The sequence below is a fragment of the Homo sapiens genome, chromosome 18 (assembly GCF_000001405.40).
Source record: "Homo sapiens chromosome 18, GRCh38.p14 Primary Assembly".
Lineage (NCBI taxonomy): Eukaryota > Metazoa > Chordata > Mammalia > Primates > Hominidae > Homo > Homo sapiens.
This window is the reverse complement of record NC_000018.10, coordinates 27,585,706-27,612,350: the sequence shown is the minus strand read 5'-3', so window position 1 is coordinate 27,612,350 and position 26,645 is coordinate 27,585,706. Positions and strand designations below refer to the sequence as shown.

The 26,645-nt window shown below is 37.6% G+C and overlaps 1 long non-coding RNA gene across 5 annotated transcripts in view, besides 1 other annotated feature; it reads left to right on the top strand.

Moving 5' to 3' along the window:
• Positions 6,792-7,086: an enhancer, noted in NCBI's record as "tiled region #9527; K562 Activating DNase unmatched - State 12:CtcfO". NCBI's record gives its function as "activates a minimal TATA promoter and a strong SV40 promoter by Sharpr-MPRA in K562 cells {active_cell/tissue: K562}" and the evidence as "EXISTENCE:reporter gene assay evidence [ECO:0000049][PMID:27701403]".
• LOC107985126 (uncharacterized) overlaps positions 17,207-26,645 on the top strand; it is a 93,388-nt gene continuing 83,949 nt past the window's right edge. For 2 of the 5 annotated variants that reach the window (XR_001753533.1, XR_001753534.2), the window contains exons 1-2: positions 17,207-17,401; positions 19,477-19,528. This is a non-coding gene — a long non-coding RNA (uncharacterized LOC107985126). Of the gene's footprint in view, positions 17,402-19,476; positions 19,644-26,645 lie in introns of all 5 variants that reach the window. The other 3 variants (XR_001753535.1, XR_001753536.2, XR_007066441.1) reach the window with 2 other exon arrangements.

Below are 26,645 nucleotides of genomic sequence, written 5' to 3'. Positions count from 1 at the left end.
ATAACTTGGGATGCATAATGCTTTTTACTCCCCTTTTATTTTTACACATGCATCGTCCTCACCCTTGTTGTTAAGTCTCCGTTCTCTTTCATGCATGGTGCCAACTGAGGCCGTGCCCCCTAAAGTCACCATTGTTTGACACGTGGCTTCAGGCTTGAGTTGAAGCCTGGCTTCCGGCTTCCATGGAGAATTTGACAAGTTGATCTTGTCCTTCTTTCACAGGCTCATCTTGACTTGCCTCTTAATTATACTAGTATTCCCTCTCCAAGTCAACCTTCAGTCTTCTTCTTGTCTCATTGCAGAAATAAATGCTCAATGAGTTCATTATCCTCTAAGGTTTTAATTAGCACTTACCCAGTGATAATTTCCATTGCTTGTCTCCTAAGCATTGTTCTTATTTCCATGGTCCAATAGGTATCTACAAATCAAACATAATGCCAAAATTCAAATCTCATTATCTCTAAAAAAAAAAAAACACCAAACAGAAAAGAGACTTATCATATCTCCTGTAATTCCTATTTCAGTTAGCTCTATCACTTCCCACCCAGTCTGGAAATGTAGAAAACATTGGGAAGTCTTTGGATGCCCTGTGCTCCTTTATCCCCCTCAACAGGTCTTTCAGCAAGGCTTGTCAACTGTGCTCTCGAAAAAAATGTATCTTTAATCTATTCGTTCCTTGTACCACCACTGTCCTTGTCCCAGGGCAGGTCCTCATCAGCCTTTTAATTATTAACATCTGACACCTTCCTGGTCTTGTCTTCCATCTGCCTCCCATGTGGCCACCTAACTGGTCTACCCAAGACAACATCCAACTATGCTATTTTTTTTTTCTGCTTAAAAACAAAAGCAAAAACAATGCAGTGAATGATTTCAACTTATTTGAAGAGTCTCCATTAGCAAGTTATTCTCAGCGCATCTGTCCAGATTCATGCCTCTAGGATTTTACACATTTTCTTTCTGGTATATGGTATCTGGTATCTGGTATAGGGCATGCATTTCTGGTATACGGCATGCAGTTGTCTTTTTAACTCACCCTTCAAGACTTTGCTTAAATGAATCTCTACTCTCTAGCTAGAATGAATCATTCCTTATTCTATGTTTTCTTAGCATTTTGAACATGCCCCAGTAATTGTGATGGGCATCACATTTTCTGAAGCAAGAATAGAAACATGTAGCATTACAATTGACAGTGCTTATTAGTAGAACGAAACAGAATATTTGAAGTGGATAATGTCTCAAGATATCTAGTAAGGATGGTCACGGAAAAGATGACATGTATCCTACATAAATGAAGAGAAGGGTAATTTTTTTCCTCGTCTGTCTCCCCTACTAGATTATAGGCTCCTCTATGATCTTGGTGACTATGACTTAGAGTTGTAATTTTTCTAGGATCGACCACAGGGTCTCAATAAATGTGCATTAAGAAATAAGTGGTGAATCCATGAGTGAAAAAAAGTGAATACATTGTTTCTGTTGTTTATAAAAGTATGCCAGTTTCATGGCTCGAGTTCTTGTGTGCTCTACATAACTGGTCTTGAGAACAAAACTCAATCCTCTTTCACATACCACCCCTCGAATACTGACCAGGTGCTATCAAACTTCCAATTTCTCTTTGCTCTTCAATCTTAGCTGATTATCTTGCTTCTCACTCCCTGGAAAAATTGAGTAAGAAGCTACTCTTCCATCACCGTATCTATCCACCTGCTTCCATTTGTGTGCATAGCTTACCATCTTTCTGGTTGAATTGAACTTTACATTCACTACTCAGTCCCTTTGCTGGGAACATACGTACCTCCATTCTTGGCTACCCAGTGATAACACTCTCACAAGCATCCCTTCTCTCACCTGTCAAAAATTATTCTCTTTCTACTGGATAATTTCCTTCCCCATATAATCATGTTAAAATACCTCAGTTTTTTAAAAAAGGAGACTTTGTTCCTTCTTCCTCAAGAGGTAGCACTCCATTTTGTATTCCCCTTTCAGCAGTGCTCAAAGAAGTTCCTGTATTCAAGATGTCTTATCGCCTCTACTCCAATTCTCTCTCGATTTCACTCTAATCAGTTTTTCATTTCCAACAATTCACCAAAACTTCTGTCAACATCAAGTACAATTTTTATGTTGTAAGTTCAAAATTATTTTGGTTCTCATAGTACTGTATTAGCATTGCCCAACAAAGCCAGTGTCTCCATTTTTGAAACACTTTCTTCACTTTGATTCTGAACTACTGTTTTCTTTTGATTCCCCTCTTTCCTTCCCAACATTCTCTACTGGTTCCACCTTATCTTCCAGATTCCAAATATTTGAACGCCTGAGGGTTCAAGCCTCCAAGTCTTCTCTTCCTACTCTCACTTTTTTGTTAATTTCATCCATTCCCATCGGAATAAATCCCCTATGTAAGTTCATGATTCCCATATTTATAACTCTGGCCTCAACTTTATTCCCAAACTCCAGACATATTTGTGCAATTATCTGCTTAATATTTCACTTGGATGTCTAGTAGGCCAATGACATGTTTAAGTGTGAGCTCTGCCTCAAATTTAACCTGCCCAACCTGCTGTGTAGTCTTCCTGATTTTTAATTTGCTCACATCTCATACCAAACAAGACAACTTTTAACCCACCTCGCTGCTACTTTGCTAAACGAAGCCAAGTTATTATCCCATTTATACCATTGCAATGCCTGCTATCTTGTCTCTCTACTTCCATCTTTGTCCCCTTTGGTCTTTTCTCACATAAGGGCCAGAGTGATACTTTTAAACATATGTGAGAACATATCATTTCTCTGTTCAAAATCCCCAATGCCTTTTCATATGACAGTAAACCCCAAATTCTTACCATGGCCCAAAGGCCTTCTATGGTCTTGCTTCTCTATGCCTCTCAGAGCATGATCATCTGTTATCATCCTCCATCCCTCAGCTCTGACCACACTGGCTCCCTTGCTGTATCTAGAACATGCCAAGTATGTTGTGGTTTAGGGCCTTTGTACTTTTTCTCTCTACTCAGAAACCTTTTTTCTTATATCCTTATTATTTTTCCTTCACTTCTTTCAGGTCTATCCTCAAATATCAGTTTATCAAAGAAGTCTTTCATGGCAACTTCATGTAAGTAACACTCCTCATCATTTTGTATCTCCTTGTCTTACTTCATAGTATTTTTCATCTTAGAAACATTACATATTTAACTTCAAAATACAGTGTTAGAATGTAATTTATCTGCTTTTATTTGTCAATGATTTCCTTAGACCTAGTTGAGTACTTGGTATCTACTAGGAACAATAAACATATACTGAGTGGACAAAATGCTGACATTGTGCATATAGAACTATGTAAGCAAGATAAAAAGCAAAACAAAACATAGGGAGCTCATCAAAATTTCTGACAAAACTACTCAGAATGACTGACAGTGGCCATTTATTTCAATAACCTGCAGAGGGCAGCACATGGCATTTTACATCATACTTTGTTCACAAAGAACCAGTAATAGTAATTAAACTGGTTTTTGTTTTTGTTTTTGTTTTTGTTTTTTTCTGACACAGAGACTCACTCTGTCACCAGGCTGGAATGCAATGGCACGATATTGGCTCACTGCAACCTCCGCCTCCCCGGTTCAAGCAATTCTCCTGCCTCAGCCTCCCAAGTAGCTGAGACTACAGGCGCCTGCCACCACACCGGGCTAATTCTGTATTTTCAGTAGAGACGGAGTTTCACCATGTTGGTCAGGCTGGTCATGAACTCCTGACCTCAAGTGATCCACCTGCCTCAGCCTCCTAAAGTGTTGGGATTACAGGCGTGAGCCACTGAGCCCAGCCCTGTAATTAAACTTTTATCAAGGGCAGTGACTCCACAAGGAAAATTAAACACCCAAAAAACAGAAGAGGTTTAAATGAGGTGGACTGGAAAACCAAAAGGAACTTAGTGACCAAATCAATGTCACTATTTGATCCTGGCCTCTGATCAACATGTACCTGCCAGCTGATCCCACAGAGATCATTAGAACAGTGTTTGCCTCGCTCTCACTCACTCTCATAAATGCTAGTGATGGTCATGCACTGTCTGAGAGGTGGGGGAGTTTATAGCTGAGAATTTGTTCTTATTACAAATAGAATGGAATGAACCTGACAGATTAACTGGACCAGTGGGTTTCAACCTTTCTTTCTCCATGGCAGGATACCTGCCCGGTAACATTTACATGAGCTACTTACTCATATCACTCCTAGAATTTGTTGCGTAGGTAAAATAGTCTATGGATTTTGTGCTATTCCCTATCACTACCTAAATGTCTCTCACCCAGAATCATTTCCTCCCATCCATTTACATATTCACAATATAAGTATGTGAACTATTTTCTTGAAAAACTCTGTTATTTCATGGTAAAGTATCACATTGATCCCAAACTTGGACAAAGATGGCACACAAAAAGAGAAACACCTAAGCAATCTTAATTTTGACTATGCATGCACAAACCTTAAATAAAATAACAGTGAACAGGATTCAGCACCAGTACATTAAAAGTAATAATCTTCACCAAGTGGAACTTATTCTAGAAAATCCATTATTACAATTATCCATTCATATGATATTAATTTTTCAGATTAAAAGACAAATTCCCAATTCTAGGCATGTCTGTATTGAAACACTAGAAATAAAGTTGGACTCTAGCTCAAAAACAACGTAAACCAAAACATTTTTAGTAATAAAATCTGTGAGACTTATACAAGATTGAGAAATTAGAGTATACTTTTATTAATATTTGATTTCATATCTATAAAATATTATGTTAAATCTAGTGATCAAATATTCTTTTTTAAAAGTGGAAAATAGAGTAAGATAAACAACATCAAAAAGCATTGTGAGCGATATAAATATGTATATTTACATATGTATATGTGAAAGGCAAGAATTCTAACTCTTTAGTTCCTACCAGGTCCTCGAAACTGCAGCAGTGCTATCTTATCTCACCTTCGCAAGATATCCCTGAAGTTTTATGGCCCATATTGTACAGATGAAGAAACAAGTTCAAAGAAATAAAGTAATAGGTATTGTCCATTGTTAAGCTAAAGAAGTTAAATTGAAGAGGTTATGAGAAATAGTGCAGTAATAAACTGCTCTTTCTCTATTTCTTTTCCTTTTTCTTTTCTTTCTTTCTTTCTTTTTTCTTTTTCTTTCTTTCTTTTTTTTTTTTTTTTTGAAATAGGGTCTCATTCTGTCACCCAGGCTTTGAGGGCAGTGGTGCAGTCTTGGCTCACTGGAGGTTTGACCTCATGGGCTGAAGGGATTCTCCCACGTCAGCCTCCCCAGTAGCTGGAACTACAGGTGCATGTCACTATGCCTGGCTAATTTTTGTATTCTTTGTTTCTTTGTTTGTTTGTAGAGATGGGGTTTCACCACGTTTTCCAGGGTGATCTCAAATTCCTGGGCTCAAGTTATCAGCCTCCCTTGACCTCACAAGCTGTTGGGATTATAGGCTTGAGCCATCACACCTGGCCTGTAAACTGCCATTTCTTTGCCTAGTTTCTTACAGCTTAACTGCAGAAACCCCAAGGCCCTCAGTAGCTTCTGCTTGTTGATTCAATGCTAAGGCCTCTCTTTGCTGCAGTTGTCTAAACCCTCCACACCTTGTGCCCAGAACTACTCTTTGCTGGGCCTCCCGGACTTCATTGGTGCTCCTGGATTATTTCTGGCTATGACACCTTTGATTCTTAGCTCATCTTCTGCTATATACTGAGTGTTTGTGTCCCCCCGAAATTCATATGTTGAAACCTAATCTGCAATGTGATGATATTTGGAAGCAGGGCCTTTAAGAAGTGTTTAGGTTATGAGGACAGAGCCCTCATGAATGAAATTCAGAGAATTCCCTTGCCCCTCTGCTATGTGAAGACCCAGCAAAAAGATGGCTGTCTATGAACCAGAAGAGTAGGTCCTTACTAACCACTGAATCTGTCAGCACCTTGATCTTGGACTTCCCAGACTCTAGAACCATGAGAAATAAATTTCTATTGTTTATAAGCCACCCACTTTATAGTACTCTGTTATCTGGCTGTTATCTAAGCCAGAAGGAACTAAGACACTTTCAAATTCCAGATTTGACACGTAGTGGGTATGTGAAATTGGCCCAGGACAGGACCTTGCATAAATTAATCTTCTTTCCCATTTTAGGAGCCCTCCTGATCTCTGAAAAGCCCCAGCCACTCCTCTGACCCATGTTTCCCCAGCCTGCCAGCCACTACCCTAGACACATATAGAGGCTCTGGGAGGTTGTAACAGGGGCCAGGCCCATCCTCCCCTCTGCCTCTTGAGTGGTCCTCTGCCTGCTTCCAGTGTGAGCTCCAGGCAGAAATATGGGGCTCACTTGGCAGATTGATTCAAGGATGGTTCTGGATAGGCACTTTTTGGTTCTGCCATGACATGTTGCAAGACAAAATGTGCATGACAGACATTTGTAGATATTGTTTGTTTGCCCCACATGGGAAGAAACAGACAAGGGGCAAGACAATAATAAAACATCAAACTGATGCAAATGTTCTTATTCAATCTTACATTAACCCATGAGGTAGATCTTATTATCTGTGTTTTAAAAGTAAGAACAAGGAGGACTGGAAAGATTAAGTAACTTGACCAAGGCACACAGCTAGTAGTAGTATATTCTAGATGTACAAACCTATTCTGTCTGGTCCTAAAGCCTATGTGGTCTTTCCACTCTGCTGCACTGTCCCTCAAGGCGAATATCTAATCACAGTTTGAAAAGTGTGCTGGAAGCCGGTAAAATGATGTTAACACAAAATTTTTAAAAGAATAAGCATTTTCGAGGGGACTTTTGGTTGAAGTGGTAGAATCCTGGGATCTCTGTTGCCAGAACACTTATTCCAAGCTCCGGCTGCTGAAGTGTGACTAGCACAACCTTGCTTCCCTGGTTAATGAAGTGTGTGCTGCCCTCTACTGGCCTAGAGAAAGTGGTACATCAAGCTTTGTGTTGGCTCAATGTGATTCTAAAACAGGAATGTGAAGATTCAATTATCCTGCTGAATGTGAGGTTTGCAGTGGGGTCTGGATTATTTCTATGGTATTTCCTACCAGAATAAACCTATGAACTTCTGTTCCCCGCTTTGTTAATCTTATCTGCCTCTACCATGCCTGTTAATGTACTTAATGTTTAGCAGAGGCAGCTAGAAAAAAAAGGCCATGTCTGTACACATGCAAATGCAAGAGATTAGGAATTGGCACATATGCCAGGATCAAGAAAGCACTAGTCCCTGTTGTTTGTTCTTAATATTGCCCTAATACAAATGACTGATACATAAACTTTTGAATTCATTATTGTTTCCTGTGTATATAAAACAAACTATTGATTCTCAATAGGCCAACTCTAAAATTCAGCCATTAATATAATCATTCATTCATTAAACAAAGATTATTAAAGATTATTGTGTGCCACCATGCTAATAGTGGGGCAGGTATAAATGAGAATAAGCTAGCTCACAACTTAGCGGTGGAGTCGGGCATGTCAACAAATAATTGCAATATAGTTTAGATAATGCTGTGATGTTTACAAAGTGTTGTGGTATCTCGGAAAGAATGACTCACTTTTGCCTGGTGTGACAAGGAAAGCTTTACAGAGGAGGATATGCTTACCCTTCAAGATGAGAAAGAGTTTACATGACTGAGAAAAAGAGAAGGGCATTTCAAATTGAGGAAATCTTGGCGCAAAGCCATGGAGGTAGGGGGCTATGGAAGCAACCTGGAGCACTCAGTTCCATAAGCTGATCATGAATATTCAGGGAGTGCTGTGAGTTAACTCTAAGACAATAAAGAGAGCAGAGTTAGGAAGGGGCTAACTGCTCTGCATAAGTCTGGATTATATATTATGTATATTACATATATACAGAAAGTGTGAAAAACCATTGAAGGGTAATGTTTTAAATCCATGAAACGTGTTTTGTTTCTATCTTATCCAATGTAAAGTGAATATATTGTAGAATTTGACTACTAAGGGGAAACTAACCAAAAATCAATTGATTGAAAAATACAAATTTTACTCTAGAAAATGCATGTCCAATGTGATATTTCCTGAAATGTTTTGGTTTGTGATCAAATTAAATGGATGACTACCAAATTTCACTTAACAGTGTATTAGGTAACCACATACTGGCTCTTCAATGTAAGGCGAATTAGACAGCAAGGAATTTTTCAAGTGTCTCAATAAAATAAATAAAACAAACTTCTTCCTCTAATACCCACCATACACTCTCCTCTTCAAAACATATGAAATTCTCCACTATGCTTTGTTGATGTAAAACAAATTTCCTGGTTACGCTTTATCTACTTTACCCTAGTTCCATTTCTTAAAATGAATTTTACTCTTGTATTAAAGTAACCTTTAACATAAAAATGCAAAAATATTGAAAAGTAGCTTATAAAATATTCCTTTATACCCAGCTCTTAAAGATTCCCACTTTTAAGTATGTGAGTATGTATTTGCAGACCAGAAAGACAGTTAAACATTGCTTCTCATGGTTTTCCAGGCTACATGTTTTACACAAAGATTTTTAAATATCTCATCATTATGAGTTCATATGGTTTCTGACTCCAGTAGCTCTAGTCAGAAGTGAATTTGGTATTCAGATGAACCTTCCATGGTCATTGTAATTCATTGTAATAAAACAATTATTAACAGAAGTTTAAGACAATACTGCCATTCCCACTCTGGTATGGTTACTGCTTTATTTTCTTCATCATCAATTAATATTCTATTTATAGGGAACCAGTAAAGTTACTGTAGAAAGTCTGCCATGATATAACATATAGCTACCGAGTTCTTTAAAATTAGTTTTACCTGAACTTGTATAGCAACTTTTTGATTGTGCAACAATATCATACTAAGTGCTGGAGTATGGGAAAAGTGATGTGAAAAAAAAAAGCCTCTTGTATGAACCAAATAATTTACTCAAATTTTATGAGCAGTAGATTCCTCTCCAAGGCCTTTTTTCTAGAATTATTTCTTGCTTTCTGCATTTCTAGAATTTTTGACATTATTCATACAAACATACTTACATTTTATGAATATATTATTTAAGAACAATATTAATTATAAAGTCACTTTGGGATAATCATAACCTACTCTTTTATATGCTGGAAATGAAACAAAAACAGCCACAAACATGCCAAAGAGTGATGTGCCTTAATTCCTTTGCATTTCTCTCCTTAAAGATCCATTAGCAGTTCCAGATCCAATATGCTTCTGCTTTTTAAAGGCACTGCTCCTCGATGCTGTTGATGTAGTTGAGCAGCTGTCTGGGGAAGTTGACCTAGTAGTCAAATGGCTCTACTATTAAGAAATTTGCTTAGTGAAAGGCTAGTCTTTAAAATATCACCTTTCCACAGATGGGAGCATGCCTCTGTTTCCATAGCAGACAGGTCTCAGTGGGAGCAAGCTCATAATTCATTTAAAAACAGACGCTAAGCTGGAAATTCAAATGTGAAGGACTACCAGGTGTCACCTGCTCTCGGTGTTGGGTGGAGCTGTTTCATCTTTTCCCTAAAGCACATTTCTCCAACCGCATAACTTGGTTAGAGTAAAATAGGCTGCAGCATTTCCTTCTTATGCATTGGGTAAGCATTAGTGTTCCCTGAGATCAGCTTACCCCTGAGGCCAGCCAAGCTGTGTTGGCTTCTCACATGGTGATTTTGAATAACCTTAGTGGTCCTCTGAATGTGGCTGCAGACCCTCTGGCCATTTTTATTTTTCTGATATAGATACATTTTCAATTTATCATTTGTATGTAAGGCCATCTGCTGTTTTCCTTGAGATTTGAGAAAGTCAAAAGCTAGATATTTGGAAGAGCTGTTATTTGCCCCCTCCAGATCCATCTCCCCCTGTCCCTGCCCTGCTTGCTGTCTGGGAGGGTGACTCCTGTGGATTGCATCCATCAGTTTTCCTTGTCTTCTGCTTGTCTGATAGATTTGGGGGTGGAAGAGTCAGACAAAGAACTGGCAGAAAGAGAAGTTCTGGTACTTATTCTTTAGTTCCTCTGCCTGGCCATGGGATGGTAGTGGCTGTATTGCGCAATGAAGGTCATGGATCCCATCATGGTAGCCCTCTCCTAGGGCTAGAAATCTTACCTAGTCCTGTAACTGCTCCTCTTTTTTCCTCTTCTTGTCTAAGTATGACAGTAGCTTCCGCTAGCCTAGGATTTTTCCATCCCTTATTGGTTTCTCTCAACTCTGCTAAATGTTTATAAATAGTCCTGTGGCAGACATTCCCTAGGGTAGTCCCCAAATGTGTCAAGCCCATGTGTAACCCCCTCTCCTTAAGTATAGATAGAACCTGTGACTTGCTTCTAACCATTAAAATATGGCAAAGGTGATACAACTCTTGATTAGAATGTGTATGAGGCTCTGCTGGCCTTGAAAAAGCAGCATGTTGTGAATTTCCTGAGGTTGAAAAATACACACATACACACACACACACACTCTCACACACACGCACTTATATATGTTATATATATATAGACATACACACACACACACACACACACACACACATATGTATAGGCTCAGATCAGCCTTTTTGTTTTATTAAGGTTCTCAGCTGTCTGGATGAGGCCCATCCACATTAGGGAGAGCATCTGCTTTACTCAGTCTACTGATTCAAATGTCAATCTCATCCAAAAACACCCTCATAGGCACACCTAGAATAATGCTTGACCAAATGTCTGGGCATCCCATAGTCCAGTCAAGTTGACACATAAATTTAACCACCATAGTGAACTCTAAGACCTTATGACAGCCCCTCGCCAGCAAGCAAATAGGGATGCCAGTCTCATAACTATAAGAAATTCTGCCAACAAGCTGAAGGCACTTGGTCAGGAATCTTTCCCCAGTCAGGCCTCTGATGAGACCACAGCCCCACCCAACATCTGGATTGCAAACTGATGAGACTACGAGCAGAGGACCCACATAAATTGTGACAAGACTCCTGATTTACAGAAACTGTGAGATAATACATGAGTCTATTTTAAGCCACTAAGTTTGTGGTAATTCATATGCAGCAGAAAACTCACACAAGTTCTTTCATTAAATGTTCTATTGAAGGTGATTATTTGTTTCTTTCTAGGATCTTAAATCATACAGGTAGACCAGGAGTTGGCAACCATTGTCTGTAAAGAGTCAGATAGTAAATATTTTAAGCTTTGTGGATCATAAACACCCTGTTGAGTATTCTTCTCTCTTTCTCTTTTTCCTCCATCTAATTGAAACTGTAATAATAATTCTTAACTCATGGGCTGTACAAAAACAGATGACATACTAGATTTAACACATAGGCCATTATTTGCCAACCCCTGGATAGACAAATATATGGTATCTAGGCAATGTGCATGTAACATGTTCACTGTATTGCTATATACATATTCATCAAAACCCATTTCCTCAATTTCCCAAGCCCAAATCTTGGTAATATTTCTCAATGTATGTGGAAGTACTGGTGGCTAGGTGTCTGAATTCCTTCCAGCAAAATGAGGATAAAATAAAGTATACAAATTCCAGGTCTGGTCACACAAATGTCTGGTGCAATTCTTCTCCTCACGCCTTATCTGGAGTGAAAGGCTCCAAGGTCCTAGTGAATGAATGGAAGTGTCACAAGGTGGAGGGACCCTGGGTCCCTTATCTTGGCGTGAAAGACTGCCCACAGAATATTTGCATGTAACTATTGTGTGTGAGAAATAAACTTTTATTGAGTGTCCAGCAACTGAGATTTAGGGGTTCATTCTTTTAAATATATCTCAAAGCTGAAGATACCAAGGGGCAGCTCATTTTATTTGCATTTTCAGAAGAGAATGCCTCAAAGACCTGTTTTGATCACATCAATAAGGGAAACTTTTCTGACATCATTTGGTGCAGGTGTGCTGTGTGGAAATGAGTAAGAGTAGGAAAGACCCAAGAGGGTTAGATTATGGCTCTAGAATACACATCAGATTAGTGAAAAATTCCACAGCTGATGGCCCTTATCCTGTGCTCTTGCCACTACTTTATGCTTCTTCTGTCTTTGAGACAGAGCTCTCTCTTCCACCCTGCTCCACTCCATCCTAAGAGGCTTCCTGGATCCCTGGGAACACATCTGCTCTCCTTGTGCTCAGCAGGGCGAGAGGTGATGTCAATACCCTCCCGCTCCGGACATCTACTTCTCATGTCATCACACACTTGCCACTCCAGTGAGCTCCTTACCACAGAACTCCAGCCCTTCACGTTTCTAACATCCCTACTCTTATGAGCTTCTACTGAAAGGCATATAAACACCCCCATAAAATGGACATGAATCTTGAAAGCCATTTAAATCTCATTACTTCAGACTCTTTGAAAGGTAGTTCCTATTCAACAAAAAATTTCTCATGCAAGAAAATCATTGTACTTTGTTTGATCAATTTCATTGGAATACAGTAGTGCATTTCTTTCTGGGATTTGTCTTTGCCCTGAAAAGCAAAATGACTTGGTGGGTTGTGGGTTTCATTCGAGGCCTTTGGCAGAGCTATTGACAACATCCTTAGAGAGTTGGAATCAATAGGAATAGAATAAAAAAGGACACATTGCTTTTACACATGGGTTATTGCAGCATACATCTATTTATAGTGAACTTCATCAATATGGATGATTGCCTTAAGCTACCATATTGTCTTTTAAAGCCTTCAATTTAAAGCCTTCATCCATTTAAAGCCTTCAAAGAATTCAAATGCCAAGCATATTAAAGAAGCAAGTCTGGAACGCAGACTATTCAAATATAAAAGAGTCAATAGGAAGAGACAAAAATTTCCTAAATAATTAATTATGAAGATCATTGCTAAAGTAACATCTCTGTGTGTGTGTGTGTGTGTGTGTGTGTCACAATACAAAGGATGATGTCTTTCTGATGCACAAAGGCAAGGTGTCAAGCTGAGGCAGTGCTTGCCCAGTAACACTAGGTGGCAGCAGTGGGTTTTTAGCCAATGCACTCTCCTTTTTCCAATGGGCAGAAGTTACCATGATTAAGAATCAATGAATTGATGAATAACTAGATTTGGATTACATATAAAGACATGGAATTCAGTGTATCTCTTTTTAAACACATGAAATATTACAAATGCTATCAGAGTGTGAGGAAGCAAACTTGTCATACAAGGGAATATCAGGAATGATATGAGTATAGTCCATGACAATTGAATATAACATACATAAAATTGAAAGCCTTCCTTTTGCAGAAAATAAACTATTCCTTTAGAAGAAGGAATAGTTTCACAAAAGACTTGCATTTAAAACACTAGCAGTTGCTACCCATGGAGAGTGCTTAGCCATTTGTAATTTGTAAGGGAGTGACTTGTCAAAATATGATTGATATTTGAAAGGTAACTTGAACTTTTGTTGATTTATTTTCTGTAATGTTACTCAATATTTTTAAGACTCTGGTGTAAATATCTCTTAACACAAGAGAAACCTATTAACCCTTCTGGAAAGAACTAAATTGTGTGTCAATTTTTGAAGGAAGAAATAAAACAAAATTAACAATCTGACCTTAGTTTGGCATGTTGGGTCAAGAAATAAAGATCGTATATGTTCCCAGGTTCTAACAAGGTTTTACTCAGCATTTACTCTCGATAAGTGAAAGCAAGTTTGGAGTCCTGTTACCAACAGAGGTAGGATGATGCCGAGGAAGAAGATCTGGACAGAGTCCGAATTTTAGTTCTAGCTTTGCCTCTAACTTGTCACCTTGAGTCAGTAATTCAACAAACCTAGATGTCGAGTGTTCCTTTTGAAATATGTAAAGGGTGTATGTTTTTTTAGATAATTTGTAAACTCTCATATGATCAACAGATTCTAATTTATTTGTATAATCATCAGTTGGTATATGTATTTGGCTTATAATGTGAAGAACCTGTGTATGTGTGTGTGTGTGTGTGTGTGTGCATGTGTGTGCTGTTTTAAATTCACAGCCAAAGCAATATACCCATAAGTATTGCTTCTTGTGCAGGGCTACACTGTGTATTTATTAATGTATTTTACAAATAGTCCTTGAGAACATTGTGCAAGTCTCTGTGTAATATTGTAGTCAGGAGGAAAAAGAGACAATAACAAGCAATTTTGTTACAACCAGAGAGAATTATTTGCATTTTTATCATGATTTCCTTTACCCTCATTTACAGAATGCAAATTGAGCACCTTTAAGTGAAATCTACCACAGGGAGCAATGTCCTGAAGTCATTACACCTTGGCTCAGGTGCCAGTGATCAAACAGACCTGATTCTGCCAAAATGGAGAACCGTCCTTTAGGCCCAGAGAGCCATGGCAGGTGATATTTAAACTATTCAGCATTTATCACACAGCTTGGACTCCATGTCATTCCTGGAAACCATGGTTCCCAATGTGGCAACTTTCAGGCTTTCCTATACTACCAATTTTTCTTCAGGGAAATGGCACCACTGTTAAAGGGAATCATGGTTATAACATATCATGAAATTAGGAATGGTAGGACTGGGAAAGTTTCATGCCTGAGCACAACTAACATGCATTGAGCATCTGCCATGTTCCAAGCTCTGCTCTACATACTTTATCAATAGTATCTCATTTAATCTTCATATAATAATATGAAATGTATATGATTGATTTATAGATGAGGACTCTAAGGTGAAGGAAAGTTAAGAAATTTGCCTAAAGTAATAAGTGGTAGAACCAGGATTTGAACCCTGCAATTCTCAGTCCTGAGCCATGATCTAAACTATCACTTCAGGTAACTAGTCTCAGAACTAAATCTTCTGCTGTGTATGCACCAGAATGCAAGAATAATGAGATATTGTTGAAGAATTAATTCAATTAGCATATAGCTGTTGTCTTTTGGCTTGTCAACCCTAGTATCCCTTTAAGAAAGAACTAAAGTATTGATACCCAATGAGGACAATCAATTTGCAAAAACTCTCACTGTAATCTTCCTTGGCATCATTAGTGGGAAGGCCTTTTGCTCTTCAGTCAATACCACTTGCTTAAAAAATAACCCCAAACCTCAACGGTTTTGAAGGATTTTTTGTTATTTTAGAATGAGTCATTTGAAAAGATATTTCACCATTTTTATACCAAAAAACATCCCTATTCTATATCCCTTTATTGATCTATGGCTTTTATTACTAACAGGTCCAGCAGTCAATAGATCAATGCTGCTCAGGAAGTTTCTATTTCTCACCTATTACAACAGAAAGAAGCACAGATAGTTAATGACAGTATAAATGATCACTCTCAATAATTACTTTCGTCCAATACTTCCTGGTTAAATGTGCATAAAAAATAAATTAAACTGGTTAGCTTCTGATGGGATACATATTCCATAGCTGTAAATTGGTTACATTATTTGTAATCCTCAAAGATGCAGGAGAGAATACTAAAACATTTCCAATTAATGGAGAGGTGTGAGCCCATGGGAAACCTTGTCTTTGACCAATGATCTCTTCATTGGAGGCAAAATAATCTCTTTGGTTTCATGTACTATGGAAACTACATTTTTCCTTACCTCAACCAAGAGGTGAATATCACCAGGATGATCATTTAATTTCATATTTTATTAAAACACTTAATGCAAAGCCATGTTATAACTGAAGGCAAAGCACAGAGCCAAGTGTAAGAAGCTCTTCTTCAGAACATAGTAATGAGAGAATTACCACATTAATCTATGTAAAAAGGCCCTTTAGAGATTTTCATGCCTCCCGTGGTTTCATTTTCCAAGGAAATGTGGAGTAAGAAGAGCTTCAAACAAATTATTCATCATTAAACATTTTACGTTTACAGGTACAGCTCTGTGAAGCCATTGCTTCTCTGGTGACATGTGATGTGACACTTGGTTTCGGCTGAGTTCTCCATGGCACCCACCAGCAGTGCCACACCTTGATCCAGGGCACACAGAGCTGTCACTCAGCCAACAAATAGGTCTTGGACAGGCTGAGCCTCCTCTGTTATATAAATGGGCATCCTCCAAGTAGCGACTCGTCTGCTATCTGTCTGATAATTTGTATCCAATTGATAGATGCTGGCAAACAACAAAAAAAAACTATGGGTAGTGTTTTCATAGTGCTATTTATAAATGGTGACCACACATCCTGGACTATCAATAGCCTGCTCAGCTCTCTTTGAAATTTCAAAAAGGGGGAAAATATTAGAAGTGAGACTAAAACTATTTTTGTAAATGTGTGTTTGCCCCGTAGGAGTCTTGCCTGATTTTCTATGGTTCCAGAATCACCCAAGCGGATAATGAAGTGAGTTGCAGTTAAGATGGAGCCCACTGGGGAAGAGATGAAGCAGTGTTCACCTGAAGCACCATCTGCATTTTCCTAGTCCTGACAGTTACCTCTAGCTGACCAGGGTTTCTGTGCAGGACTTCTGGTATCAAATCAACGATCAAGGGTGGTTACACATAAAGATGAACAGTTCCATAGGCAGGTTTAAAAAAGAAAGCCTATGAAGAAATGTTAATACTTAGCAGCACTCTGAAGTTAAGGGATATGGTGCTAGAAAAGCTTTAAATATCCTTATAATAGTCTAGAATATTGTCTCCTCAATAAAAACAGGCAGTAGGCTTTCTATCAGCTAAAGCCAAATGCAACCTGCCATCCAAGCCAGTTACCAAATAGTCCTTGCTGCTATTAAAATTATCACCAGGGAGTTCAAGGACTAGGGAGTCATTTGAAATGGCCTTGGAAAATGTGTTGAAAGAATTGCCTCAAACCGTTGTCCCTGGTGCTTGTTCTTTGTCCCTGTGCTCTAATATACAGTACATGATAAAATATATCCTGTATATTTATAATGTGTCCAGAAAACGCCAAAGTGCTTAAGGCTCTGACATTGTTTTCATTAGAGATTGATACTTTAGGGAATGCAAATGCCAACTTTTCAAATTTCCTATAGGTGGAAACTCCAAATGATGCCAGCTTTTAAAAACGTTTTGTACTTTGTGAAGCTCTAGAGCAGCTGTGTGTGACTAGAATGAAGAAAGACGCTTGTATAAAATGCCAGCAAAACAACCCCACCTGCTAACAGGAATGCTGGCGGTCATAATAGCCAAGACCTGGGAACTTGATTATTCATTCAGCTAACCTCATCTTTTGTCAGCCTCACCAGTGGTAGGTAGTAAATCTGAGAAAGATAATTTAGACTGAAATATTAGTGGCCTTTCAAGTTGCAATACAGCTCATTCCTTTGATTCTAGTCTACCAGTTGCCACTTCTGGTCCATTTGCATATAACACTGGAGAAGTGTTCCTTTATCTTTGTGAAGCCCTTAACATTCAAGGAGCCACTACTGCTTCTATGCTGCTGAAAAATACAAGACACTGCCTCTACCTCTGCATCTGTCCTTTGCTTTTTGCTTGGAAACTATCACATCAAATCACACTGAGATCAGGTGAGTCTCTCTGGTTTTGCACCCTCCAGTTCCTCTAGCAAATGAACTCCATAAGAATCTAAGCCAGTGCTCTTCCAATCATGCCCTGATTGCCTGTGAAATAAGTCTTCTGAGGTTTTCACACCGACTGAAAAACTCTACAGTTATCCAAGCAGGAGGCCAGATGAATAGATAATTGCACTCAAGCCTAATTTAGTATGCAATGATGACCGAACACACTCTTGTAAATTTTCTTTAAGCAGAGAGGATATAGTTATTTTTTTTCTCAGCATGAGGAGGATAGATGGATTATAATACTGACTTTCATTCATGGCAGAAAATGAGGATGAGCATAATAATGATGTCTCTTTAACTCTGATATAAAAAACAACAGAGTGATTCTGTTTTCTTCAAGAAACATTTATTTATCACATATTTTGTAGCAGATATTGTGTCAGGTACTGGAAGTACAAAGAATAAGATACACACTGTGTTGTCCGGGAGTTCATGGTTTTAATGGAGGTGCTAGATTAATAAATGCATAAGACAGTGCAGTGTGATGACAGCTATGATGGTAGTGGCCATGTGTAGCATGTTATTACTGGGCCACGAAAGGGAAGGTGCAAGGGAAGTTTCTGGAGGGAAGACACCTGAGCTGAGCATTGCGTAGTGAACAAAGCTGATGGAAGAAGGGATTTGGAATGGGGAATAGTGACGAGTGGAGACAGCAAGGAGGGATGGATTCATAAAGGAAGGAGAGAAGGTGTTCTAGGGTGGGGGGAGCAAAAGTGAGAGATTCAGTGACAAGTTGTGGAAACCTCAAATAGTTGTGCATAGCTGATTGTAGAGTGAATTATGGTGACCAAGAGGGAGAGCGGAGAAGGGGAGGCCAGCAGAGGGCTGAACTGAGGGGCTCTTCATGTCTTTGTGTGAAGAGAGTTGCACTCCAACCTCAACGTTATGAGGAACCAGTGAAGAATTTCATATGGAGGAGTAACATGATCTTATTTGTTCTAAAAGATCACTCCTCCCTTGAAACGGATTTTGTCCCGTGTACAGTGGGAGGTGGAGGTAATTGTGGGAACAAATACTGGAGGTAAATTTATATGACATTTAAAGATAAATACACTTTTGACTCCCTCCTCCTTTTAGCTTTTACGTAATTTAGGATTTTCAAATTTCTACACACATATTTTTAAGAAAAATATATATTCACACCATCATTAATATTTTTAGAAATACATTTTTTTCCCCAGAGAGTGAAGAAATTTAAACCAGAGATAGAAAAAAGAGTTGGCTTAAATTCCTGTCTTTCTAATAAAATGATTGCTGCTGTAGATCTAGAGAAATTAAGTATATGAACCAAATATAGAGGAATTCCTTTATATTTACAATCATACAGGTCTGAGTCTAGGAGGTGCCTTACAATAAACATACACTAAGTCAAATTAAGTCAATGGGAGATCAGATTGAATTGGTTTTTTTGATCAACAGGTGCTCAGCTTACTGTCTAGATCTAAATTTAAATGGAAAGATTTTTCTTTATCTTTTAAATCCTATGCAACATTGGCAGCTGTATTAAAAGGGTCATGAGAGCAGGTTGTGCCTACATAATGAGCAAATTGATCATTTAAAAGTTTACTCTGACATTGGCTTTCTTATGTGACAAACTCAATTGACTTGTTGAGAGTTCTAAATTAGCCAGCAGAATAATACCAGGTTGCCCTTTTTAATCAGGAAGATATGACCTATATTTATTGCTTTTATCCCTAGGCCTCTCACATCAAATGCAAAATTCAACAAAGAACCTAAATATGGTGGCTGTATTTATTTGTTTTTTGGGGGGGTTAGTCATGCATGAGTTCCACTTCCTAATAGCATCTCCATTTCCTTTGGGAAACTTACTCTTCCTCCCTGTAAGTCATCTTCGTAAGCCAATAAGCAAGATGCTCATTCCTCTTGCTAAGGAAACCAATGAGGTTTCTGGAGACTCTTCGTGATAAATTTTTTCTCATTGCTCTGTTGATGCAAAGAGGATAGATTTGGGATTTAATTAGAGCCAATTGATTCTCTCTTCCACAATTTTGAAACCTTAGGAGATGAGATGAAGGATCAGCTGAGGAACAGTCATCCCAACAGTAGTGCCTGGTAAGACGGTGAGGCTATTCCCACTCCCAGCATCCTCTGTTCTCTTCTGGACCAACCCAGTTATTCAATCCCTGAGCTTTCTCATGTGGTTCTGGTAAATCCACTTTTTGCTTAGGTAAGCTGTGTGTGTTTTCTGTTGCTTGTCACCAAAGAATTCAAATTGATAGAATGGTAATGAACAATTTACTTTTTACAGAAGCTAAAATATATTCTCACAAATCACAGAAACTCTAACAACACGCTTGTGAAATATTGAAGAACTAGGGAGTATTAACTCCATTTAACAACAGAGGTAGCTAAAGTACACTCAGCACTTGCTCTATTGTCATGGGGCTCATCAGAAGCAGAATTAGAAACAAAACTTGGCTCCCAACTCTGCCAATAATTAGTGGTGTGATCTTGAGTAAGTTACTTAACCATTTGGGGCTTCAGTTTCATCAGCTGTGAAATGGGAGCATTGGGCAAGATGATCTCTAGGACCTTTTCCATCCCTAAAGTCATTCCATTTTTTATCTGAGGCTCTTTCCTAGAGACTCCTTCTCTGTGGTTGGAGATCCAATCTGTGGACCGAATGCATCAGTGGCTGAGATGTAGTCTTTCTCGTAAAATTTATTTTATTTCTATATGTTTTTATTTATTTATTTTTTCATTGAGACACAGAGTCTCATTCTGTTGCCCAGGCTGGAGGGCAGTGATGCAATATCGGCTCATTGCATCCTCTGCCTCCTGGATTCAAGCAATTCTCATGCCTTAGCTTCCCCAGTAGCTGGGATTACAGGTGTGCACCACCATGCCCAGCTAATTTTTCTATTTTTAGTAGAGATGGGATTTCACCATGTTGGCCAGTCTGGTCTCAAACTCCTGACCTTGGGTGATCTGCCTGCCTTGGCCTCCCAAAGTGCTGGGATTACAGGCACGAGCCACCAGGCATGGCTATAAAATATATTTTAATCATCTGTGAAAGCAAAATATGGCAATAGAGTTCACATTTGCATTTCCATAGGCTCTGTGTCTGTCTCTCCTATATTTTCTTTGTTTCCACAAATAAAAATTATGAGACATCCTAATTGTTTCTATTACTAATAGAAAAATCAGTGCATTTATCAGAACCCAAACTGAGCTCTTTTGGCTTTGCCTAGTGGTCTATTTATGTATTCAATATTATTAAACATATTGGGAGACAAAAATACATTGGGGTCAATGCTTTATTAACGTTATCACATATGTTATCTGTTTCCACTCCTGAGGGACGTCACCCACATGCTTATACCATCTTAATAGTCAACATTAACAATGGCTTTTTAAATCCCAACTTGTTCTCTTTATCCTTTCACACATCTGTCCTATTTTGAAAAGCAACAAAACAGATCTCCTTATATACACTATTACTCTAATCACCTCCCTTTCTTGTTTTAACACAGTCATACATTTTAAAATGTGTGTCACTGATTTTTAAAATAAATGTATATCTCTTTTGTCACTCCCTAAAACCTGGTTTCTAGTAGAAAATGGGAAAAATAACTGTGAGTAGAAAAATATTTCTCAGACAATATACAAAAGAATGATCCTTAATGTAAAAGACTGACACTACTGAGAACATTAAAAAATAAAAAAGTCTTTTCAGCAAAAGACACCATAAACGAAAGACAAACCTTAGATAGGGAGAAGATGTATAACCCAAATAATCAATAAGTAATTACTGCATAAAATATATAAATAAAACTTAAATCAGAAAAAAGACCAACAACTCAATAGAAATAGACAAAGTGATATGAATAGTGAATTCACAGATGAGGAATTGTGAATTGTCAAGAATATTTGACTCTATGCTACGTCTCACCAATAGTCAGGGAAATGCCATCAATAAAAGCAATGCAATATCACTAAATAACAATTCAATTGGAAAAATGTTCGCTAGTTGAGACAGAGGATTGAGGAAACTTGAACTCCTAGTATAAATTGGTACAACTACTATGAAAATCATATATCTCTTTCTCTATATATCCATAAACTAGAAGTTCCATTCCTAGGTACACACCTTGGAAACTCTTGTATATGTAAGTGAAGATATAAATGCCAAAATGCTCATTGCATCACTATGTGTGATAGCAAAGAGAAGAAGAAAGAACAAAGAAAAGTAGAAATAACCTGAGAATAGTTGAGTTGTATGTATTTATTCAATAAAATACTATATAATGGTTTAAATAAATGAATTATAACCATAAATATCTACCTTAAAAAATTCTCAAAGTCTTGATTGAAATAATAATTTAATCATTCATGCCATCAGAGTTTATATTAAGTTAATAAATGCAAAACACTACTACGTATGATTTTTGAATGCATACATATGTAGTAGAAGTATAAAAATTATGCAGGGGAATGATAAATGTAGCATAGTGTTTTCCTCTGAAGAAAGAGTAGATTATGATTGGGGAAGAGGATACTGAGGTTTAATGTGTATGTAGAACATTTTATTATTCTTATAAATCTGTTGTGAATAAAGAAAAATATTAAGTCAATAGTTTTGTGATGAGTAAGGACACTATGTCCATGATATTGTTCTTTGTAACTTTAGTATGTTTGTCACGTTTCATGAGAAATATATTTCAAAAAAGAAATATGATCTTAATTTGTGTTGGGCTATGGAAACTGATCTCTGAAGGTAACTAGCAGTGTCCTTCTTGTCAACTTCAAAAATATTTTCTTCATTCCTTGCTCTTTGAAAGACTGAAAAATTCTGTAGACAAATTCAAGAAACTACCTCCTTTTTCCCCCTTTCTCGTTAGTGCATTATTCTGCTACTTCTCAGTATCATGGTTGAATCCGATAATATCTTAATATATCCTGTAGATAAATAAACATCCTTCTATATTTAAGGCCCTAATTCTGTAACTATAGGTTTCAAATTTTCAGTGGAACAATATACTAAACTCTTCAAAAAATTAGTCAGCTGTTTACTAATGAGCTGAAACCCAAGATTAGTAAAACAATATTGGTCAATACATTTTTTTCATCATATTGTCCAACTTGAGACTTTAAAAAGCATATCTTCCAAAGAGAACTCTTGTACTGTTAATTTGTATATAGTATAACTAAGATATTTTTCCATTCCCTATAAGAAAAAGGAAACAAATGAGAGAAAAAAATTAAAATTATCAATTGGGAATATTTAATTGGAAGAATTATTATCAGATATTTAATAATCTATTTTATTCATAAAATGATGAAAGCACGAATGTATGTTTTCAAAGGGATTTTTGATACCAAGTTCCTTTGATGCTTTGAGGCACTCAGCTGTGGAATGGGTGGCTTCTAATTATAAAAGAAATGCCATGAATTGACTCATTCTTGACAGTAATATCCAGAAAATCTTAGCAAATTCTAGATAATTTTTAAAGTACTGAATTATATTTGAAAACTTATATTTAAAAAAATTTATTCTAAGATATATATCGCTTTTTATAATTAATTTATACTTTGTTTCAGGAAAAGTACAAGTTAATGCACATGTGTGTAAATATGTCTATACATACATAATGCATGCATACATACATGCTGTGGGAATGAGTTAATCATGTTGAAAAGCAATTAATCATTTGGAGCATTGTGTTAGTCCATTTTGCATCACTGTGAAGGAATACCTGGGGCTTGGTAATTTATAAAGAAAAGAGGTTTGTTTGGGTTCACAGTTCTGCAGGCTATATGAGAAGCACAGTGCCAGCATCTGCTCCCAGTGAGGCCTCAGGAAACTTCTAATCATGGCAGAAAACAAAGGGAGAACCAGCAAATCACAAGGCAAGAGAGAGAGTGAGAGAGAGGGGAAGGTCCCAGGCTCCCAACCAGATCTTGCATTGACTGATTACCACGGGGAGGGCGCTAAGCTGTTCATGAGGGATCTGCCCCCATGACTCAAACATATCCCACTAGGCCCACCTCCAACATTAGAGGTCATACTTAAACATGAGATTTGGAGGGGATGAAACAGCCAACCCATATCAAGCATACAGGTGTAACTGGCCAACAATGTCCACCCTAAGACAACTATTAAAATGTCAGAGAATGATTTAAAGAAAGCATACAATGTATGGTGTGTAGCTTTTCACACCCCATTTTAGAAAATAAAAAGTTTGCATATGTCTTGTATCAATTATAGCTGGTCCTAGGTAACAGAGCCCAATTCTCAAATTCAGTTGATGGGGAAAAACAATTTGCATTTATAAAACTGAACATGCTAGATGCAAATGGAGCTATGGGTGAAGCTTGACCCAAGGCTCACAATGCACAGGATGGCATCAGGACTAGTTTCTCCTTTCCTGTTTCTAGGTGATGCTTTCCTGGTTGGCTCATGGTTTTAAGAGGACTTCCAAAAGTTCTTAGTGTAAAGGAATAGAGATTTAGGTGAAGAATATGAGTCTCTTTCAGAAGACTCGGTAAAAAATATCAGTGCGACTTGGTGGTTCTGATTGGTCACCTCTCCAAGAATATAAAGGTTTGATTGACAAGACTTGGGTTACGTGCCTTCTCTTGGAGCTAAGGTAGTATTCACTTCCTTGAAAGTACACCAAACTGGGAGGAGTGGGTAGACCTCAACAGAAAATATCAAAAGAGCAAATGGATACTGCACAAAGGGGAATAAAAACATTATCCATCCTCCTCACCACAGTTATGTCACCTCCTCCTCATGGAAGTATGGTGTTTCCAAAGCTTAGTCCTCAATGTACTATCTTGGGCTCTTCTATCTCATTTGAGGACTCATTCACTTTCAGTCCTCAAGTGCTGATTTTTGGCTAGACTCCCAAGTTTAGATCTATAGTCTGCCTTGCAGTTCTGAGTTCATCATTTGTTTATGGATATTTAATAATCCACTGTCAAATTGGAGTCTGGAAACTGGGATAACATAAACCCTGGAGGTATAGAACAAACATTTCACAGAGTACTTCTGTATAGCGAGTTTTATGAGCACTAATTGATAGATTATCAAATTCCAGTTGTGCTTTTCCCAAAAGTAGGTCTGCCTGAGAAGGGGCTTATATTCATACTAGTCTTGTCACCATTGCAGCAACAAAGGGCAAACTTTATACTCTTTCAAAATTATACTGGGGTGGTTAGCTCTGGGCTATCCATTAAAACTTTCTGGGCATTAAAATAGTCATAATTTAAAGTACTGGTTTTAATAATATCTCCATTTTTGATTAATTAAAATATCTTAAATCTGAATGGCTTTCGTTCTCTGTTATTCATGTCTGTTAAAGATGAGATGTTCCCTACCTTAGAATGTTCTGAATTCAGAAAAACCTAAGGAGTACAGGTAATGATACTGATTTTTAAATATAAAACTAGAATATTTTCTAGGGTTACCACAATTTTCAAGAACATATTACATAAAAACCTATTAATAGAATATTTACATGATTTGTTTTCTCAAATTATATATATATTACAGTTGTTAATGCCTACTTAATCCAATTATAACATGGTATTTAATCAGGTAGTCAAAACCTATTTTTACCAAAACATGAAATACTTATTCCATTAGAATAAATTCTTACTATATTTTATCTTATTAAACCTATTATTCCCTCCAAATAATAATTTTAAAATAAAGTTTTAAAAATTCACATTGGAAAATTCAGACAAATTAAAATGGGCCAGAGGGACATCATGTTTCAAAAATTGTGAGATTATATGAGTTAAAATATTTGAAAACCACTGTCCCAATATGTGGGGAATTATATGTAAATGACCATTACAAATGAGGTATAAAATCCTTAGATCAGCCTGTGGGCCATGGGTAGATATAGTGGGAGTGTAAAACATACAGTGCTGATTTAGACCAAATTAGGAAATATCACTCTGGCCTTTTTTCTCAGGGTCCAGGTCTTTCACATGCTCACAGCTCCCTTCTGCAGCATGTTACAAGAACTGCACTCCAATTTTCCTGACTTTTTCAGACAGTCCCTCTTATGAGAACCAACATGCTCTCCAAGTCCAAGTGGGTCTTCTTTTTTTTTTTAGGGAGTTGACAAATCAATCAGACTAGCATGATGGGGTGAGCTTATATGTGCAAATACTATTTCCATCTAATAATAGGTTTGGATATTAATGAAACCAAACACCTTCTAGAACCAGTGCTGCAACTTGGAGAAATTCCATTGACTGTATTACCTGACGAGTAAAGAATTTGGGGGTTACACTTCATAGTATCTTTCAAGTTATTTTGGCTGTGTGAGCTCAACTTGAGGAATAATTATATAAGTAAATGACCATTACAGATGAGTTACAAAATCCTTAGATCATCTGTTACTGAAATAATAATGAGCAAAAATGCAAATAATTTTACTGAATATAAACTTAAGAATTTAACATGAGCTTCAAGAAAGGTTATTAGGTAGCTTTTCAGTTATGTTTACATAGATAGAGCCCGTGGTCTCAAAAAGATTACTTCTTGTCCTCTCTAGGAAGCAATTTTAGAAAACAAAATTGAATTTCTGTCAATACAGTTAGATACAGTTTTTTTAATTGCATATCTATATGTAACTTTAGATTCCTAACTCTATAAAGGATACATTCTTAATTTTCACTTTAAGCATATCTATAGAGTTAACTTTCTGAATCATCGTTCAAATAGCTAGCTTCTTTGTCCAGCACAATAAGCTTATCAACTTCCTCCTAACCATTCTATATCAGAGAAATATAAAGGATACCCTATAGTGAAACCCAAGATATTTAAAAATATATCCAGAACCTGCCGGGTCTGTCTCGCAGACCCTGGCCAATGGATAAAATGAGTACTCGGACATAGGTATGCAGTGTAAGAGCAGCTAGATGACTGCCTGGCTCTAGTGGCCTGAGAGCAGCCCGAGAAGCTCGATCTGCTTGCTTTTATTCAGTGCAGGCACAATGCTGAAAACCTGGAGCCCACACAGCCTGTAGGTAATTAACATTTATTGTTCCCCTTTCAGGGAACGTCACACGTGTGGATGATCAAAGGTCAGATCCTGGTCAACTTAAGTAAACAAGCTTGTTTAAGATAAATTTCCCAACACTCGCTTGAGCCTACTCCTTGCCCTCTGCCTCAGGGTTAAAGAACGGGTGCCTTCAGCTATTCTCCCCA